At 35.3% G+C, this 22,494-nt stretch overlaps 1 long non-coding RNA gene across 1 annotated transcript in view; it reads left to right on the plus strand.

The window, feature by feature from the left end:
* Positions 1 to 9,324: 9,324 nt before the first annotated feature.
* Positions 9,325 to 22,494, plus strand: part of LINC02027 (long intergenic non-protein coding RNA 2027) — a 101,780-nt gene continuing 88,610 nt past the window's right edge. Inside the window, exon 1 of the long non-coding RNA NR_132411.1 lies at positions 9,325 to 9,384. This is a non-coding gene — a long non-coding RNA (long intergenic non-protein coding RNA 2027). The remainder of the gene's footprint in view (positions 9,385 to 22,494) is intronic.

A 22,494-nucleotide genomic window follows, 5' to 3' on the forward strand; every position in this document is an offset into this window, starting at 1 on the left:
TTATGGCTAAATACCATCTGTTGGCCTTTCAACGCATTTAGAATAAAATCTAATGATTAACATCTACATGAGCTAAGCCATATCCTAATCTGATCTCATCTTCTCCAACTTTTTACCTTTCTTCCTTCCCCTTAATCTACTTAAACTACTTCAGCCACACTGGTCTTACTGCTCCTCAGTGCATTAAATATATTCTCTTTCTGGACCTTTACATAGGCTTGATCAGAAAGACTTCCTCAATTACCTGTATTAATCAGAGTTCTTCAAAGAAACAGAACCAATAGAAGACATGTGTGTAAGTATGCGTGTGGCTGTGTGTGTGTGTGTGTGTAATATATATGTATATATCTATATATGCATATGTAGATATATACTTGTATGTATATATCTCTCTATATAGATATATACATATGTAGAGAGTGGGGGGAGTGAGAGAGATTTTAAGGAATTAGTTTGCACAATTATAGAGGCCTAGAGGTACCATGGTTTGCTGTCTGCAAACTGAACACCCAGGGGAGCTTTTAGTGTAGTTCCAGACTGAGTCTTTACTCCTGCGAACCATGAATGATGATAGCATAAGTCTCAGTCCAAGGGTGGGAGGAGACAAACATCCCAGCTTAAGCAGTCAGAGAGAGCAAATTCTTTCATCCTCAACCTTTTAGTTTGATTCTAAATTCTTGGTGGGTTGGATGACACCCACTTGCATTGGCAAGGACAATCTGCTTTACTCACTCTATTGATTCAAATGCTGATCTCATCCACAAACATCGCACATTCATACTGAGAAATACTATTTAACAAAATACTGGAACACTCCATGATCAGTCAAGTTGATTCATAAATTTAGCCATCATATCATTCCTGCCTCAACTATTCACCATCAACTTCTATCACAATGCATCCCTTTATCCTGATTTATTATTTTTTTACATTTAATTGCATTTGGTTGCATTATAGGCAGCATTCAAACTTTGTTTCTCTCGTTTATTATAAAATATGGGGAAACGATTTAATTTATTATCCTCAGTTTCTACATGTGCATAGTATTGCACAACTTGCCTCATTAGGTCATTGTAGAATAAATAAAATAATAACTTCAGAGTGCTCAGCACATATTTGCAAAACAAATAAAAAAAGACTGGATCATCATGAAAATAACCATCAACAGGTGCTTCTAATTATTTTCATTATTCTTCCATAAGTATTTGATTTTGTAAGATAATATATATTTATGTGTATCTCTGGGTACATTCCTTAGGGAAATTATTATGATTTTATTAAAATATAGTTTATTGAGATGTATATGTAGGTACACATGTCATATATATAGTAAAATATATATATTTACCATATATAGCATAGTAAACTATGCTACATATATATCAATAAATTATATTTTAATTTAGTGATTTTTTACTAAATTAAATTTAACAATTAAATTATTAAGTTTTTTACTAAATAAAATTATTTCTTGTGTTCCCCATGGGTAACCATTGTTCATTGTAATATACAGTATTTTTAAATTTAATTTAATAGTTTTTTCTTTTTTCTTTTTCTTTTTTTTTTTTTTTTTTTGAGCCAGGGTCTTCCTTTGTCACCCAGACTGGAGTGTAGTGGCATCATTACAGCTCATTGCAAACTCAACCTCCGGGCTCAAGGAATCCTACCACCTCAGCCTTCCGAGTAGCTGGGATTACAGACAAGCACTACCACCCCTGGCTAATTTTTGTATTTTTTTTAGAGACAGGGTTTTACTATGTTGTCCAGGCTGGTCTCAAACTCCTGGGCTTAAGTGATCTGCCCACCTCACCCTCCCAAAGTGCTGGGACTACAGTTGTGAGCCACTGCACCCAGCCTAGGATATAGGTTATTTTTTTTTAATTTTTATTTTAGGTTTGGGGGTGCATATGAAAGTTTGTTACATAGATAAGCACATATAACAGGGGTTTGCTGTACATATTATTTCATCACCCCAATATTAAACCTAGTACCCAATAGTTAACATTCTTGCTCCTCTCTACCCTCCCACCATCCCCTCTCAAGTAGACCCCAGTGTCTGTTGTTTCCTTCTTTGTGTTCATAAGTTCTTATTGTCTAACTCACACTTCTAAGTGAGAACATGTGGTATTTGGTTTTTGGTTCCTGCATTAGTTTGCTAAGGATAACAGCTTCCAGCTCCATCCATGTTCCCACAAAAGACATGATCTTGTTCTTTTTATGGCTGCATAGTATTCCGTGGTGTATATACACCACATTGTTTTATCAAATCTGTCATTGATGGTCATTTAAGTTTATTCCTTGTCTTTTCTATCATGAATAACACTGCAATGAACATTCACGTGCATGTGCCTTTATAGTAGAATAATTTATATTCCTCTGGATATACACCAAGGAATGGAATTGCTGAGTTGAATGGTAGGAAATCAAGACATGAAAATCCATTTAAAAGATCAAAGAATCCAGGAGATAGTTTTTTGGAAAAAAATTATAAAATGGATAGGCCACTGGCTAGACTAATAAAGAAGAAAAGAGAGGAGGTCCAAATACACACAATGAAAAATGATTGCAGGGAATGTTACTACTGATCACACTGAAATAAAAACAACCATCAGAAACTACTACAAACACCTTGACACACAAACTAGAAAACCTAGAAGAGATGGATAAATTCCCGGACACATACACACTTCCAAGACTGAGCCAGAAAGAAATTGATTCCCTGAAAAGACAACTAATGAGCTTCAAAACTGAATCAGTAATAAATAGTCTACCAACCAGAAAAAGCCTGGGACCTGACGGACTCACGGTAAAACTCTACCAGGTGCACAAAAAAAAGCTGGTACCATTCCTACAGAAACTATTCCAAAAATGTGAGGAGGAGGCCCACATTTTAAGTTCTCCCCAACTTATTCAATTAGGCCAACATCATTTTGATAACAAAACCTGGCAAAGACACATAAAAAAGAAAACTTCAGGTCAATATCTTTGATGAACATCAGTGCAAAAATCCTCAACAAAATACTTGCAAACTGAGTTCAGCCACACATCAGAAAGCTAATCCACCATGATCAAGTAGGCTTCAACCCCAGGATGTCATGTTGGTTTAACATACGAAAATCAATAAATGTAATTCATCACATAAACAGAAATAAAGACAAAAACCTCATGATTATTTCAATAGATGCAGAAAAGTCTTTTGATAAAAGTAAACATTGCTTCATGTTAAAAACTCTCAACAGACTAGGTTTTGAAGGAACATACCTCAAAATAATAAGAGTTATCTATGACACATCCACAACATTATACTGAATGGGCCAAAGTTGGGAGCTTTCCCCTTGAAAACTTGCACCAGACAAGGATGCCCTCTCTCACCACTTCTGTTCAACATAGTATTGGAAGTCCTAGTTAGGGCAATCAGGCAAGAGAAAGAAATAAAGGCCATCCAAACAGGAACAGAGGAAGTCGAACTCTCTCTGTTTGCAGATGACATGATTCCTTATCTAGGAAACTCCATAGTCTCAGCCCAAATGCTCCTCCAGCTGATAAAGAACTTCAGCAAAGTCGCAGGATACAAAATTAATGTAAAAAGATCACAAGCACCTCTATACACCAACAGCCAAATCACAAATGAACTGCATTTACAATTGCCATGGTAAGAATAAAATAACTAGGAATACAGCTAACCAGGGAGGTGAAAGATCTTTACCATGAGAATTACAAAACACTGCTCAAAGAAATCAAAGAAGACACAAACAAATGGAAAAACATTCCAGGCTCATGGATAGAAATAATCAATATTATTAAAATGACTATTCTACCCAAAGCAGTGTACAGATTCAGTGCTATTCCTGTTAAACTACCAACAACTTTCTTCAAAGAACTAGGAAAAAAAAACTATTTTAAAATGCATATGGAACCAAAAAAAGAGCTGGAATAGCCAAGACAATCCAAAGCAAAAAGAACAGGGATGAAAGCACCATGCTACACAACTTCAAACTATATTTCAAGGCTACAGTAACCAAAACAGTATTGCACTGTTATAAAAACAGGCATATGGATGAATGGAAAAGAATAGAGAGTCCAGAAATAAGGCCACACATTTATGACTACCTGATCTTCAACAAAGCTGACAAAAATAAGCAATGGAGATAAGACTTCCTAGTCAATAAATGGTACTGGGATAACTGGCCAGCCATAGGCAGAGGATTAAACCTAGATCCCTTCCCTATACCATACACCAAAAAAAAAAAAAATCAACTCAAGATGCATTAAAGTCTTAAATGTCAAATCCAAAACTCTAAAAACCCTAGAAGACAAGCTTGGCAATACTACCATCCTGGAGATAGTAATGGGCAAATATTCCATGACAAAACACCAAAAGCAATCACAACAAAAGCAAAAATTGACAACTAGGAACTAATTAAACTTAAGAATTTCTGTACAGCAAAAGAAACTATTAACATAGTAAACAGACTGCCTACAGAATGGGAGAATATATTTGCAAACTATGCAACTGACAAAGTTCTAATATCCAACATCTATAAGGAATTTAAACAAGTTGATAGGTGAAAAACAAACAACCCCATAAAAAAGTGGGCAAAGGACATGAACAGACACTTCTCCAGAGAACACATCCATGTGGCCAACAAGCATATGACAAAAAAGCTCATTCTCACTGATCATTAGAGAAATGCAAATCAAAACCACGATGAGATAACACCTCACACCAGTTAGAATAGCTGTTATTAAAAAGTCAAAAAATGACAGTTGCTGGCGAGGTTGTGGAGAAAATGGAACACTTATGCACTGTTGGTTGGAGTATAAATTAGTTCAATCATTGCGGAAAGCAGTATGGCAATTCCTCAAAGAGCTAATAAATTATTATTAAACGTATTTTTTTCAGAATACATATTACATACTCCTTTGTACTTCTAAAATCTTTAAAGAGATGGAGGGAAATGTTTAGTGGAACATAAACAATAATATTTGGAATGACTTCCTTTAATATAACTCTTACCATGTGGCAAGGACTGTGCTATTTGGCAAGGTTTTTTTTTTTCATAATTTCACAAAAAGAAAAAATTACACATGTTTTCATTTAAAATCTGGATCAATAACTTTAAAACTCTTATTACTTTATCCTTTTTTATATCTTAGCAAGAGAGAAGGAGAGATCTGTATATTAAAATCTTAATAAAGTTAAAATGATTATATAGACCATATTGCTTCAGCAACTTCATTTTCAAACACAGGGATTTTATTTTAGGGTTTTTAGAGTTTTGGATTTGACATTTAAGATACCACCCAGAAAACTTTAGAGTTCCATAACCATGAAAGGTATTGGAAAAAGAGCAAAAGTGAAAGAAGAGAGTTTTTGTTGTGGTGGTGGTTTCCTATGGACACTATACAATAAAACAAAGAAATTAAACCAGGCTTCAATTGCCACTTAAGCATTCAATTAAAATTGTTAACAATGGTGTAACGCATCAGCAAAGCCACTGATGAGGATACACACCTAGCTGAAACCATCTGCTCCCTAATGGAAGAATGGTAACATTTACAATCAATAAATTGTTTGCTTTGGTCCATGGCCATTTTTCCTGAGTTATTGCAGAAATCAAGCAACCCTTTACCATAAATTGACTACCTGTTTAAGTATTTAATACTTGAATATATTTTATTTCAGCCTATGCCTAGTAATTTGGAAGATACTCCCATCAGTATTACTAAAATATTTACTATTACTATTCTAATAAATGCAAATGCAAAAATCAACAATCCTCTTCTAACTTTAATTATACTGAACATTTTTATTCTCTTACTACCTTTATAGAATGATCTAGCCTTAACACTTTTAAATATTAAAATATACAATTTTAACATAATTTTGGATAGTTTCAAGGCTTATACACAGGGATGGTTAATATTAGGTGTCAACCTGACTGGATTGAGGGTTGCCTGAATGGATGGTAAAATATTGTTTCTGGGTGTGTTTGTGAGGCTGTTGCCAGAAAAGATTGACATTTGAGTTGGTGGACTGGGAGAAGAACACCCACCCTCGAAGTGGGTGGGAACCATCCAATTGGCTGCCAGCATGGCTAGAACAAAGCAGGCAGAAGAAGGTGGGAAAAACTTTGCTTGCTGACTCTTCTGGATATCTTTCTTTTTCTCTGTGGCCAGTGCTTGCTTCTGCTCCTCCCACTCTTGGACATCAGACACCAGGTTTTTATTAGTCCATTTTCACACTGCTATAGAGAACTACCAGAGACTGGGTAATTTATAGAGAAAAGAGGTTTAACTGACTCACAGTTCCACATGGCTGGGGTGGCCTCAGAAAACTTACAATCATGGTGGAAGGTGAAGGGGAAGCTAGACGTGTCTTACATGGTGGCAGGAGAGAAAGAGAGTGAGGGGGGGAACTGCTGCACACTTATAAACCATCAGATCTCATGAGAAATCACCCACTGTTAAAAGAATGGCATGGGGGAAACCATTCCCATGATCCAATCACCTCCCACCAGGACCCTCCTCTGATACATGGGGATTACAATTTGAGATGAGATTTGGGTGGGAACAAGAAGCCAAACCATATCAAGGTTCTTCAGCTTTTGTACCCTAGAACTGGCAGCAGCAGCTTCCCGGGGCCTCTTGGGCCTTCAGACAGTAGAATGTAGGTTACACTGCCTGTTTACTGGCTTCTTTCCTTCCCCAACTTGTAGATGGCCTATCATGGTATTTTGCCTTGTAATCACGTAAGCCAATTCTCTGTAATAAACTCCTCTTTATATATACATATATCCTATTGGTTCTTTCCCTCTGGAGAATGCTGACTAATAAGTATCCCAATGTATTATATGAGAAATACATTTTATTAAAAAATATCTGTTAAACCTCGAAGATAAAGATTTATTTCACTTCATTTCTGGAAAGTATTTGCTATATAGCTGAGTTGGAAATACCCATCCATATCATGAAACTCATCAAACAAATTAGAAATAATTCCTTTGAGAACAACCTAACTTTATTTTTAAATTTAAATAAACTGGTTAATAAGCATCCATATGAAAATGTTCTCACTTCCGTATTTTAATTTTAAAACAGAAAAATAGATAAATCAATAACAAAGTGACATTTCCCTTCGAATATCTTGTTAAATCTCTCATGTTTTACTTCAGTGGTTCTTAGCTTTAGGGGCAGTGCATTCCCTAACTGTGCTTTTGTTTTCTTCCTTAGAGAGTCTCATACCTGAAACAACACATCTTTTGTCTGAAAAATGGGAGAAATACAACTGTGAAAGGAGAGATGGAAATCAAGGGCTAATATATTGATATTCAGTCTTGTCAATTTCAGAAAATTCTACTGCCTTAGTCCATTTCGTGCTGCTATAACAAAATACCTGAGACTGGGTAATTTATAATGAACATAATTTATTGGCTTCTGGTACTGGAGGCTGGGAAGTCCAAGAAGAAGGATTAGATACCTGGTGAATGTCTTTTTCTGTGTCATCTCATGATAGAAAGCAAGGAAAGAGCAAGAGATTGAACTGGGGTTCAAGCCCTTTCTTTTTGTTTTTTTTTTTTTTTAAGAGAGAGGTTTTGCTCTTGTTGCCCAGGCTGGAGTGTGCAGTGGAGCAATCTCAGCTTACCTCAACCTCCCTCTCCTGGGTTCAAGCGATTCTCCTGCCTCAGCCTCCTGAGTACCTGGGATTACAGGCATGCACCACATCTGGCTAATTTTGTATTTTTTTAGTAGAGACGGAGTTTCTCCATATTGGTCAGGCTGGTCTCGAACTCCCCACCTCAGGTGATCTGCCTGCCTCGGCCTTCCAAAGTTCTGGGATTACAGGTGTGAACCACCATGCCTGGCCTCCAGCCCTTTTGTAACCAGCATTAATCCATTCAGAAGGGTGAAACTCTCATGACGTAAAGCCCTCTTGTCAAGCCCCACCTCCCAATACTGTTGCATTGAGGATTAAATTTCCAAAGCATGCTTTTGGGTGGACATATTGCAGCCATAGCATCTATCTATGGAATTTAGTATCTGGAAATTGCTATTCACGATCAAGCTAACACCTGAAAGTCTTCTTTTTCTTCAATTTGAAGATTTTTTGTTTAAATCTTCTCCTTTGTGTTTTCTATTATCTCCATTAAAATCTTATTGCAATTATATAAAATGAATTATAAAACATTTAGAGACAGGATGTGCTTTCTGGAAATGTTTTCTTAAAGAAGGGGTGTAATTAAATTCTGATGACTACACCTATATGCCTAATTTTAACACCTAACAAAATTTTTGACCAAATTGCTTAACAGTTGATTTGTAAACCCCAGGGTCACAGAAATATCAGAGGCCTAATTCACGTCAACTTAGTCTTATTTATTACTCCATTCAAACCTTAAGTGGGTGGTACCATACACACTTCTCAGGCCAGAATTTACTTTAAGGTGACAGGGAATTGCTTCATGTGTATATCGTCACTTCATTTTTAGCCCTGGGACTCTTCCTATACAGTGGCCACTTGAAATGGCAAGAGTGCCTCAAAAAGATAGGGAAGTGATCATTCAGGGGCCTTCCTCAGTAATGAAACAAATAAGAGCTGATTGGAAAGCAAATAGCTGTTGGAGGTATTCTGTGGGCTTCGCCGAAGATCCCTGCTGAAACAACCCTCTCATAGTGAGGATCGCAATAATTATCCCTTGTACAGGCTTTTTCTTCTTCCTCATCTCATGTTCTCTCTTCCCCAACTCCTATTTTTTGGAATAATCTAATAAACTAATTTAACATAAGACCTTGTTTCAAATTGTGCATTCAGAGAACATAAGCTAAGGGACTATTGTGGAGGCTAAAGCAACTCTATCTTTGATGCCAACCTGCTATGTTGACTTATGATTAACTCCAGTTCAGGAAATGTTTCTAAGATTTTCACTTTCACTAACTTACTGCAAATGCTGCCTTAGGTCAAAACAATCTTGATATTATTATAAATACTCACTTGCCATAAGCCCTACCCTAGGCAATTTCTCTATAGTATGTAAATCCTGGGTCCAGGGGATAATGGCTGGGGATCTATCATCTCATCTCACCACAAGACATGACTTCTGTTGCTAAGTCTCTTGAATGTTTCTTTCTGAGAAACTGGATTTTTGACCCTCTTTCTTCGCCTCAGAATGTTTGGCCTTTGGGGGTAAGTTTGCATAGACCTGCTTACCACAGAATAATCATTAACAGGAGTAACTCTAGAAAGCTGACCCTGAGGATTCTAGAACTGTTTACTCACTGATTAAAAAGTAATAAAGATTCCCCTACCAGTACGGAGTGAAATTGTGATAACTCCTGGCACAACCATTAAGACCCTCATCTATAGTGGACTGGAACAAAGCACAGGTAAAAGGATATCTTTGGATTGTGCTTTTGAACAATTTTGTGTTTGCCTTACTTTACCGTTTTGATAACTTTGTTAACTATTGCTAATTTGTTAACTTCTCTTATTTTAGAACTTATAAAAAAGAAAAAAGTGCACATTCAGTTTAATGAGGTGTTAATTCAAGGAATGCTGTGAGAGTCAGAAGTTCTAAATGCCAGTGTTTAAAAAGATCCATGTCACAGTGATCTTGGGTAGGCTGGGACACACCAGCTCACTGACGGACCTGAAAATGGATTGCTGTGGGACTACAACCCTACTCAGGATATTCTGAGTTATAAGTGGTATGCTTGGTTGTTTTGTCTTACGTACAGGGAGGAGTCACCTAAGGTAAAAAAAAATATATGTATAAATGCCTTGGAAGGGACAAATGACTCAATGTTTGGTCAGGGTTCTTGGAAGGTTTGACAAAATGAGATCAGAGAATAGGAATATGGATGGATTTACAGGAGCGAGCAAAATATGTGTATTTTTTGTGTTTTATATTAATGCCCAGCAAACATTACTCACTATACAGGAAGCACTTAACAATAAGCCAGGTAGACTAGTGTATCTTTACTTGAAGGGATCATTACTTCTCATACTTCCTGTTACTTGTATGATGATTCCTTAAAAAGAATCTAAATTGTAAAAGGGATAAAATCTGTACATTGGTTCAAGAGCTTGAGCTCCCCTTAACCAAAGCTAACTTCACTACTGATAATGCTGAATGTACAAACAGTCATCAGCACAGAACAATGGATATGGCACTTGCTTTTGATATAAATAAATAAATACAAAGTATATAATGATATGGTAGGTGGAGTCCAATATTACAAAGCAAAATTAATCAGTATGACAGAGAGGTGGATGTCTTTTTGAAAAGGATGAACAGAATTTTTGAATAAGAGGAGACTGGAGCAGAGACCTAAAAGAAAAGAAGGAACAAGGGATATGGATATTTGGAGAAAGGATATTTCAGGAAGGTTGAAATTTAAGTTCAAAGTCTCTGGGGCGGAAGTAGGCCTTGTGTGATGAAATAACAGCCAGTATGCCAGTGTAGCTCGTGTAACTGAAAAAGAGAATATAACTATATGAAGCCCACAGTACATTTGGAGGGATGATTATAAGACTGCAAAAGTCTAAGTTCATGGGTATTATTATGAGTGAAGTGAGAAGCCATTGGAGAATTTGAGAAGAGGAGCCATATGACCTAAATGATAACTTAAGAGAATCTCTCTGTGAGGTGCATTTTGCCCATGGAATAATAATAATACCAGATGCAGGAAGTTACTGTAATAGTCTTTTTGTTTTGTTTTGTTTTGTTTTGTTTTTTGAGATGGAAGCTCACTCTGTCACCCAGGCTGGAGTGCAGTGGCACGATCTCGGCTCACTGCAAGCTCCAGCTCCCAGGTTCACACCATTCTCATGCCTCAGCCTCCTGAGTAGCTGGGACTACAGGCGCCCGCCACCATGCCCGGCTAATTTTTTATATTTTCAGTAGAGACAGGGTTTCACCATGTTAGCCCGGATTGTCTCGATCTCCTGAGCTCGTGTTCCGCCCACCTCAGCCTCCCAAAGTGCTGGGATTACAGGCGTGAGCCACCACGCCCAGCCTGTAATAGTCGTAGAGAGAGATGATCATGGTTTAGACTAGGTTAGTACAAAGAAAGATGGTGAGGAGAAGTGGCCAAATTCTGGATATACATTTGCATACACACACACACACACACACTCTTATGTACACATTTTTAAAGAGATCGACCTAATTAGAAGGGAGATTAGGAAGGATGGGCTCAAAAGTCTATTTTAACTCTCAATTTTTTTAGCCATGGGTCAAAGGGATTAATCAGACAAATATATTTTGTTTCTCTATATAATTAGTAACTGTAGAATTTGGATTATATATATAAATGTACATAAGCATAGTAATAGGTAAAAAAATACATATTTTCAGATTAGACTCAACATTCACTTTTATTCAATCTTTTAATTATATGTAAATATTTGGGTAAGCATGATGTGTGACTTGGATTTTCTTTCACACAGCCCAGAGATTCCTTAAAATTTCACTCACAGCTTTAGGGTTAAGAATATGTGTTCTCTGTAGGTATTTAATGCTTATGCATTTTTATTAACTTTTTTCTTTAGATTGCCAATCTTTTTATATTACTTCACAAAGAATTATGGGAAAGGACAAACTGTTTAAACTTTACAAGTTACTATTTTAGAAATAGAGACAGACTTACTGTGACTTTTGTTAGAGATTGCTTTTATGTCATGATTTCAGCTGATGCACTTTCAGAAAACCTGCAACCTGGATATATCACCATGATGTGCGAGATGCCACATCATGAGTCACAGTTGAGATGTAATTCATTTCCACATACACACGTCTTCAACTTTTACAATAAAGTTTATTGAAAAATGTATTTGTTAAAAAGATCAACTTTCCTCAATAATATTTTTCCCTTGATTTTAACATTTATATTCCTTGTCACCGGTTTTCCATTAGTATTTTAAATTGACATTTGAAATGACTTCTCTAAAGATAAGAGTCCAAACAGCAGAGACACTAACCTCCATTCACCTTAGGGAATTCAGGGTGAACTCTTTCATCCCAGGTCTTCTTTTCTTCTCCAGAAATCCACAAATTCCTTACCTCTAAAGACTTCTGCCATCCTAAGCTCTTCCCTGTGTCTTATGCTAGCTTTCCTCTGCAGCTGCCATAAAAATTTTCTATCATATTTCATGGTTTAGCAGATCTAGAATTAAAAAAATGAATTCGTAGAGTTGAACTCATCACCATTTTAAAGTTTCACATAAATGCTTCTCCCACCAAAATATAATATGCTTGGTTGACAGAATGGTTGTGTGGTTAAAACGCAGAAGAGGAAGCCAATCTTTGACTATATGTGTATTATCTTTATGGATCCAACTAGCATTTTGCAAGTCACCCACTATCTTTTTTCTCCTTACTAGTTTGAATTGGCTTATATATGTATTCATAATTATTTGGGTTATGCCTTAGATCAACGCTCATATTCATACAGACACAGAGGTTATATGTGTAGGATTGCATGTAACATTGAGGATGAAGATTTAACTTCTGTTAATAAATTAGTTGCTCTGGATACCTATTTGTCAAAGAGTTTTAGATCAGAAAAAAAAATAGCATCCAAACTTAATGTTCAATTTACAGATGAGAAAAACAAAGCCCAAAGAGAGGAAGTGACCTATTCCATGGTAGATGGCTAATTATTGAGGGAGCAGTGTCTAGAAGTCATGTCCCTTGTCATTCAATTACACATTTTTTTGATCTATAATACCATAGTTACCAATTGATTAGGGTGTTTGCAAAACTAGCAAACTAATGATGTATTTCCTAACAATGTTAAATTTACAGGAATAATTCATAGATGAAAACATCTACAATTTCCTATTAGGAAAAATATCCAGCACGCAGCCTACAGCATGCTTGTACGTTTTTGAACTGCAAACAAAACTAATCCTCTCGATATTAACCTCAAGTTTAAATTAGTAAGTCATATGTAATTACAGTTCAGTGTTTAAATAGGATTTACTTGAGGAGGGATTGCTTCAGTTTTACACAGAATCTGACAGAATGCCTAAAGTCAATATACTCCTCCAGGCTAACATTGCATCTGCTAGGCAAACTTTGTCTTTACTCAAACTTCAGAGGTGAGGAATGTGAATTATTGCCTAGGTGGATAATGATTATTCACTACAACCTATCCTTTTTTAAAAAAAGATGTTTCTCTGCATAAGACATAAATATTAATAAAGGCTTTTGTTCAGGAATCAGTGCTATGATCAGAAAAGTATGAAGAATCCATACTTCTAGAGTTGAGTTAGCCTAAGGGGAGACAGAAATACCTGACCTATATTAGATGACTCTAGCAATCACTGAGGGAGATAACAAATCTCAGGAATCAAATAAGCACCATTTCCTAAGGACGGAAATACTTCTGAGGACAATGGTAAAGCAGAAACATTTGCTTTGGAACTGCCCTAGAAACGACGCATAAAATTAAAGGGGTACTCCAAACAGACATTTTGTGTAAGACAAAAAGAAAGGTGAAAGAGTGAGATACATGTATGTTGAAAAGTATTCAGAACTCACACACAGCAAAGCCTCTCTTGTAGCCATATGAATTTCACACATCCAGCTCTCTTTATTTTTAGTTTAAAGGAGGCACTTATTTCAAAACTTTATGCTTGAAAGATAATACAAAGTCCAGAAACAAGGACCTTTAGACTTTATGTGAACACATCATCTTTTTCTTCCATAACTGCTGAGGCATTGTCCGTATGTCGCTTTGTGAAACATGTTAGTCTAGTACCTCACTCCTGTATTCTTAGAAGGGCCTAATGTTTGAAATAAATATGCTACTTAATTTCTGCATAACTCATATAAGGTGACTTTAAAATATCAGAAACAATTTTATTCTAAGCTACTCCATTATACTCCTTTTAAATTGGGGTGTGGAGGGGACAGACATTAACATATGTCATAAAATAATTTAATAATCCACTCTGTTGAGCATATTTCAAGTATATTTGCATTCACTCTATTTCCTTGACAAATTGCCAGTCTGAAAACTTTAATATACAAAATTATTAAAATTATTAAAGTATGTCTTAAATGTCCTCAAACTATGTAGCAAACATATCCAACATGTGTATGATGACCTAAATGGAAAATATGGACCATAATTATAATGTAGCAATTTATGAGTAAGGATGATGCGCTGGCTTAGGACCTGCATTAAATCGCTCTACCTCTAAATCCTCACCCTGTTTTTCCTCATGTGTTAGATATAAGTCTTCAGTGTGAGGTCACTCAGACTCGAATTTTATATGAATGAGGTTTTTAGCAGTGATGAAACTATTGAAAACATTCTAAGTTTTTTTATTCAAATACTTCAGATTGTCTCTAGTAAAGTTTTATTTTTATTGGAAAAAACTTTAAAAAATAACATACGAGTTGTTAGAATTACGTTAGCAATGCTAGACCTACAGTAAGGTGCATTAAATGCTAATTAAAATGAATAACACTCTAGGGTAACACTTATTTCTTAGAAAAGTATCTCCAGTGCCCTGAAAACATTAATTAGTAAGGAGCTAGATTATTGATGGGGAGAGTTCTTCAAAGATAACTGGGCAGTTACATCCTTGGGACTAGAAAAGAGAAGATTCCGTGGCTGTAGTCATTGGCTAGTCACTAAGGGAGCAAAAACAAAAACATCAAGAAAGTAAAAACAAAGATTCAATAGTATTAATAAGAAACATTCATCTGGCTCAAGCTGTTCTGTTAAGTAGTAATTTTAGCTTAGTCTCAAATGTCTCCCAAAGAAGTCTGAGATTTTTCAAAACACATGCCCATTGGATGACTTCTACTGACATCCAGGTGGCATGCTTACCACTTAAACCCCTTCCCCATATATCTCTTGTAGGTTCAGTTAATCTCTTCTTCTGGGCAATTTGTGAGCACCTGCCAAACTCTGAGATTGACAATGCTTAATGTGGAGGGTGAAGATGTCTACCTTGAGGCATTGTTTCATCTTGCTGCCAAAGCAGCTGGCAATGCCTTCCATCGCTGCAGAGGCTGCTGGCACCAACACCATGGCTGCTTTGTGCTCCCCAAGTCCTATGGAGATGTTTGAGCTTTTACTCACTTGTTAATTACAGGTCTTAAAGACTCAGGCATAAACCAATGGGATATCATGGGAAGGGAGCTGTGAATGACTAACTGAATTCCAATTGAGAATAATTCCTCCAATCTTATGCTGGTCTTTGAACCACATTTTTGCAACCAGTTTTTCTTAATAAAAATCACACTTTCCCCAGAAATTCTGTATTTCTGGTTTTGGACTGTTCACAAAGCAATTGTTGGCAACTCAAAACTTCCCAAGGCTTAGCTATATTATACCAGAGCTCTGTTTTCAATCAAAAAGTTTTCTGTATAGCAAAGTCAATATTCCTGTTGTACATGACATTCATTCTAAATAATGCTATTACTTGAAACTCTTTCATAAGGCTGATATTTGCAGGACTCATGGGTTACACTGCAAAATAATCATCTTTTGTCTTCCTCATTGCCTCATTCAATCTGCTCATACAGTAGTTAATCTTTATTCATGGTGATAGCTTGGAAAAATTCCATGTTTTCTTTAGTAATTTTGGGTTAATTCAAAGTTCTAGCGTCAAATTTAAATATGAACACAGACTTAGCAGTTAAAATACTGGTCCAAGACATTAATTAAATCATGAACTTAAAGTGAAGTCTCCTCCATTCATTGATCTGGGATCTGCACTAGGTAGGCAGCCTGTCCTAGACAAAGAGGTCATGGTGAGCTCCTTCTAATATCCAGTAAATGAGCTCTAGCCTTTCTCTTTTTTCAATAAGGCTTGCTAGAGATATATTAATTTTATTAATTTTCAAAGGACTTAGTTTTAGCTTTATGATTTTTGTATATTATTTGTACAAATTATTGATTTCCATTCATATTTTATTATTTTCTCCCTTATACTTATTTAGTTCAATTTGCTCTTCCTTTCCCAGTCTTTTAAGGTAAAATCTTAGGTGTTTATTTTCCATTATGAGCATTTTAACTTATAACACTTAAAGTTGAAATGTACATTTTTTGATAAACACTGTGTGTGTATACATCTCACAAGTTTTGCTACACTGTGTTTTCATTATCATTCAATTTTACTTATTTTCTAATGTGCCTTGTTCTTTTTCATTGTTCTAAAATTTATTTAGAATTGTTTAGCTTTATGCTCACATATTTGGGACACTTTAGGTACCTTTTCACACTGACTTCTAATTTGTTTATTATTTATTTTTTAATTTCGTTATTGTTTTTAAAAATTTGTGTGGGTACACGGTAGGTGCATATGTTTATGAGGTGCATGAGATATTTTGACAGGCATGCAATGTGAAATAAGCACATCATGGAATTTAATTCAGTTGTGCTCAGAGAACATATTCCATATTATTCAAATCCTTGGAGATGTATACCATTTTCGGTTCTCACATATTGTCATCTTATTAACCTTTCATGTATGTTAGGAAAATAAGGAATATTCTGCATTGGTTGGGTATAGTATTGTATAAGTGCCAATTAAGTCAGGTTGGTGGTGAATGTCAGAATTTCTATGTTCTTATCACATTTTGTTTTCTTATCCTAATTATTAGGAGATGCATTTAAATCCTAAATTTTACTTGTATTTCTCCCTTTAGTTTTGTCCATTTTCTGTGGACCTGAAGCTCTGTTACAAATGGGTAGATATTAAGGATGACTATATTTGTTGATTAATTGACTCTCTTATTATTGTGAAATGATTTTCTTTTTCTCTATTAATACTCTTTGTCTTGTAATCTACTTTATCTGACATCTACAAAGAAACATTCTTGTGAATACTGTTTGCATGGATTATTTTTCATATTTTTCATTTTATTCTACCTGCAGCTTTATATTTAAAGTCTTTCCCTTGTAATAATCACTTAGATTGGCCTTGCTTTTTATCTAGCCATACCATCTCAGCTTTTATTTAAAATGTTTAATGTATTTATATTTTATGTTACTATTAAGATGGGTTTGAATCAACCATCTTACCATTTGTCATTTGTTTTCTGTGTTCTTGTTCTATCTTTCCGGCAGTATTCCACATTAATCAAACATTTTTAATATTTCATTTTATTTTATAATATTTTTGCATAAATACTTGCTTTATTTATTTAATGCTTACTCTAGGGATTGTTGTATGTATTTTTATATTCAGTGTATTTTGAAATAATATTATACAACTTCAGTTTTAAAGAACCCTACAAAAGTATGTACCTACTTAAATCCTTCCATTCCTAAGAGCTATTATTGTCATATATTTTACTTTTACATATATGATGAATCACAAATTATGTTATTATTACTATCAAATAGGCCACTTTTTTAAATAGAGAAAAGCTCATATTTTTGCGTGTTTTTATCAGGATAAATATGCTGGTGTTTTAAAAACAAAACAGTAAGAAATGGGTGAATGTGGCAATTACAGGTATTAATTTAACACATAAATTTTGAATACTCTTAGAAATATTAATTATATACTAAACAAGCTATGGTTTATTTGTATTTCTGTCTACTACACTTTATCTGCATAACACATGTCTTCTGTTTTAAAGAACAAATTAAATGTAAAAGTAACGTTTACTTTTCCAGGGGATTTGGAAATTTTTTTAATTTTAAATAAGAGAGGGATCCTGGATAACTTAAAAGAATATAAAGCAGCATACTTTATATGGATTTGGATTTAATTCTAATTCTAATATTTTGGAGACATAGTTTTATTTCATTAAAGCTTAAATGGAAAAAATCAAGTTACATTATTTCCTCCAGGGAATTAAAATTAGTTTAAAAATAACTGCCTAAATAATTTTATACTTGATATAATGTCTAATCTCATCAGAAGCCCTATTGCTGCTTTTGTCATTAAATACAGTAAATACATTCTAGCACTCTTCTTATGTCCCTTTTTTGTTTTTTAACAGACCTCATCGAAAGCAGAGTCTGGCTTTAAGTTGAATAAGTTAATGAATTTAGTCAATCTATATTAAAGGAAAAATTAGTTAACATCTTTCTTACCACACCCATGACAGTTAGATTTCCATTTGTCTATATTATTTGGAGAATTCAACTCTTTATTATCAATAGGATGATTGACTATCAGGCAGTTAAATTTTGAGAGTTGAGAGCAGAGGGAGAGGTAAAGGAGAAGCCGAGTAGAGAATAACTGAGCATTTTATGTTTGTTTATTAAGGAAACAAAAGAATGCTATACTGGATTTATTCATTTTCCAACCATTTGTGTTGAGTTCAGTAGCTCCTAAGTATTTGTTTTCTTTAAATTTTTGTATTTTCCAAATGTCACATTTTTGATGAATGTGAATTGGTTTATAAATAAGTAAAATGCATTGCATGAACTCTCGGTATAAAATAGGAGTAAATACAATGAAATCTTGTCATTGCTCATAAAGCCTTCAAATCCAAGGTTTCATTTGCCAGGAAAAGAGAAACTGAATGTAATTTCTTTTCAACACTGAAATGAAATGCTTGTGTTCTAGGACATTTCAGTTTTGTGTATTGATGGGCAGTGGGGAGGGCTGATATACTATTGCTAAATTGCTAAATGTTATTAGGAAGGTTTCCTAAGGTTAAGGGTATAAAAATGTCAGTCAACAAACCACACTTGTGGTGAATCATTCAACAGTATTAAACCTGATGTGCCTCCTAGGTTTAATGTTGCATTAACTTCATCTTGCATTAACTTCAAATCCATTACTGAGTTTTGCGTCCAAAAATACCCTCTTTTTGCCAGCATTTATTTGTAAGATTCTTCTGATTGCACTGAGTTTCCTCTGCTGTCTTCCAATAATGACATTGTTTCAGCTGTGAGAACATATTAGGAAATATATGATGCTTGCAGTTTTGCAGAAGTTGATTTCCCCCTGTGGAATAATCTTCATTCTAATTTGACTGTAAAATCCCCCATAAATTATTTCAATCTCATTTTAGACTGGGACATATTTCATTGATTGGTAATAGCCTTAAATTACTTTTTATTGTGATTGTAATGTTTTCTTGTCAAATAGCAGGAAACAGTAAATTATAGAGTAATTTAACAGGTGGAAATATACACAAGCAAAAATTGTTAGCAACAAAGATAAACCATTAGAACAAATTCTAGTCTGCGCATACCTAATCAGTTCTTCCATGTCTACAGTTTAAGAAAGCAGTTCTGTCTGCCACAAAGTTTAGTTAATATAGAATCCTGAACTCATTTTTAAAATGTAATCTGTATATTTGAAACTCATGGAGCCGTAAAATTAGAATGCAACAAAATATATTTAATGGTATTTATTTGGGGTAAGGTTGCTTTAATACCAGAGGCTCCATATTGAAAGCCTAGTATTAAACTCTTATGCTAGCCATAAACCAGTAAAGACTCCTTGACCTTAAATGAGCTTTTCTAGTACACACTCAGTCAAAATGATGTCATCGCTTTTAGTGAAAGAGAAGTGGGTTACATACAAGAAATATAATTGCATTGAGAATACTGTAACCATAGAGTCTTCATGGAATTTGTTTGCACATTTCTGATGGAAGTCCTCAGGGATTTCTAGTCGGCTCTAATCAGAAATAAAAAGTTATGAAAATCAGTTTTCTTTCATAAGAAGCCTGAATCCGCAAAACCTTCTAGTTATCTGAGTGGCACTGTTGTCTAATCAAACATGAGTACTCCATTTCTAAACCCAAATCAGATCCACTTTAGTGTCCTTAGAAAATAGCTCAACATTTCCAGAATCCAGAGACATAATTAAAGAAAAACATCACTTTGGAGAATTTCAACAACCCTTAATCATCGACCTGTCTTTTTGGAAATTTTGAAATTATTAAATTTACCACATTGATTAATGGAATTAGCAATAGTTGGATATTATTAAACCAGATCAGTGAAGAAATGAGAAAATCCAAATGCAATGACATGACAAATATTTTACTTTGGGAAATGTTAAATAATATTAAATAATTGTGTGTGTATGATAGTATGTAAATTGTATGCTTGACTGCATTTGTGTATCTGCATATCTTTAAAAGTATCTTCAATTGAATATCACATTACATTTTTAATCACTAGAATAGCATACATTAGCATTAAATAAAGCTAAAGAAATGTACTATATGATTTTTTTCAATGAAGTAATGGAATGTGGTGGAAATTATATGGATTTCTGAGCCAAGAGGCTTGGATTCAATTGCTGGTTACAATATATACTTTTTATATAATTTTGTTCATGGAATCTTTTTCTGCATAACTATAAAAAGGGTAAGACTTATTTTAAGCTATGGCACTAAGATTAAATATCATATTTACACCTGCCTTAAATCCATTCTGAAACAATAAATAATGACATAAATTGTTTAGCATAGAGTGGATGCTCCATAAGTTTTAGCCATATTATTTTACCAAGTCTAAACTGTTACTCACATATGAGTGGGTTCCATTGCTTGGCAGGTGACAGCTCAATGACTACAACCAAAGAGGTTTAAATAAGAGGATTTTATTATTTATCAAAAGTAAGAAAACCAGGGACAGTTCCCAAAGCAATGCCTCTTCGAACGAAGATGAAAGTGAGGTATTTATTGTGTTGTTCAGCTGAGTCATTGTACGTAAAGGAAAGGTAAAGGCAGCACAGGCACCGTCATGGATCATGCTTCTTCACACATCACATATATAGTAAATGGTGAATAAGCTCCTCCCTGGGGATGGATGTTAGTGTGTAATATGGTTTGGCTCTGTGCCCCACCCAAATCTCGTGTCAAATTGTAATTCCGTGTTGGAGGAGGGGCATAGTGGGAGGTGGTTGGATCATCAGGGCGGATTTTCCCCTTAGTTATGATTGTGGGTGAGTTCTCATGAGATCTGGTTGTTTGAAAGTGTGTAGCACTTCTCCCTTGGTTCTCTCTCTCTCTCTCTCTCTCTCTCTCTCTTTCTCTCTCCCTCTCTTTCCTGCTGCCATGTGAAGAAGTGCTTGCTTCCCCTTTGCCTTCCACCATGATTGTAAGTTTCCTTAGGACTCAACAGCCATGCCTCCTATATAGCCTGTGGAACTGTGAGTCAGTTAAACCTCCTTTCTTTATAAACTACCGAGTCTCAGGTAGTTCTTTATATGAATGTGAAAACAGACTAATACAGAAAATGGTAATGCCGAGAGTTCACCAAAGTTTGCCTCCAATTTAGGCATCTCTGGATCCAACATGTTTTTGTTTGCCAGGGCTGGGCTTCTTCCTGTAACTTTTGGATGCAACAAAACCTCAAGGTCCAACAGTTACTAATGGGTACTTTTTCACACTGTGCATCTGAAAATATGGGGACCCTGGATTGCAAATCTCCCCAAAACATTCCACTCCTGATTCTTGAGGGGTTAGAGATGGAGCTCATTCTTCTGTATCTACTTCATGTTGTGTCTTCTAAAGTTAGAGGAGTGAAACTCTCCAGCTGCTGAGTTCACATAAGTTTTTGGGTCCTCTAAAATTGCTTGAAGGGGCAAGTATTGTATTAGTAATACAAGCTCAAGATGGAACTGCTACAGTTTGGAGGACACAAAGTTTACTATCAATTTAAATGTACAGGGACTGAAAAGTAACCTGAGAACAATGGCCACTAGGGGCCCCAGCAGAGAAAGAAACCAGGTGAAGTGAGAGTGCATTCTAAACTTGGTTGGTTGAGCTACACTTTTTGTTGAAGGAACACAGCTATTCTGCTTGTTTAAACATTTCCTTTATATTAACCTCTATTTCCCCAAAGGCATTTACCCAGGTGCAATAGAAGATATTGGTGACTGCATGTATCCCTCCTTGTTCTGTTAGTAAATAGTCTAAATCCAATCAGTTATTCAATACTACATTAGCTAGTGAATTTAAAGAAAGATGCATATTTCGGAGATTCTCCATCATTTTAGCTTCCAGATTCTCAAGTGTTCAGGTTAAATTTCTTAGGGTGACCTTAGTCAAAATTCCAACAAGAGGCAGCCACAATTAGTGCAATAACCCTTTGTGGTCTATTATAATGGGTGGTCATATTATGAAACGTTATCTAATGGGCCCCAGAAGGCCCACAGTACATTGTCCTAGCTGTATTACATTGTCAACACAGGGGTGAGCCACTGCAAGTAGCAGAGAGGAAAGAACCATAGAGAATTTATAGCTAAGGAGCTTGTGGTGGGGTGAGCCACAGATGAAAACATATCCTGGAGGTGCACACACCCTCGTGGGAGTGATGAAGTTTAACAACCAAGCAATTGGAGGCCCCAAGGGGCACAGGTAGTCCCATCACATTAGAGGAATAAGGATCCTCCATAAGTCAGGCTAAGATTTACTTGTCCTGTTGAAGCTCTTCCATCAGCTTTGAGGGTGAGAAATAATAGTTTCCAATATCAAGGAATTTATTTATCTCTTGCCAAAGTTTACATTGATTATGATAACCAGTGTTATCGTCTATTATGTCCCC

This window comes from Homo sapiens, chromosome 3, assembly GCF_000001405.40.
Source record: "Homo sapiens chromosome 3, GRCh38.p14 Primary Assembly".
Taxonomy (NCBI): domain Eukaryota; kingdom Metazoa; phylum Chordata; class Mammalia; order Primates; family Hominidae; genus Homo; species Homo sapiens.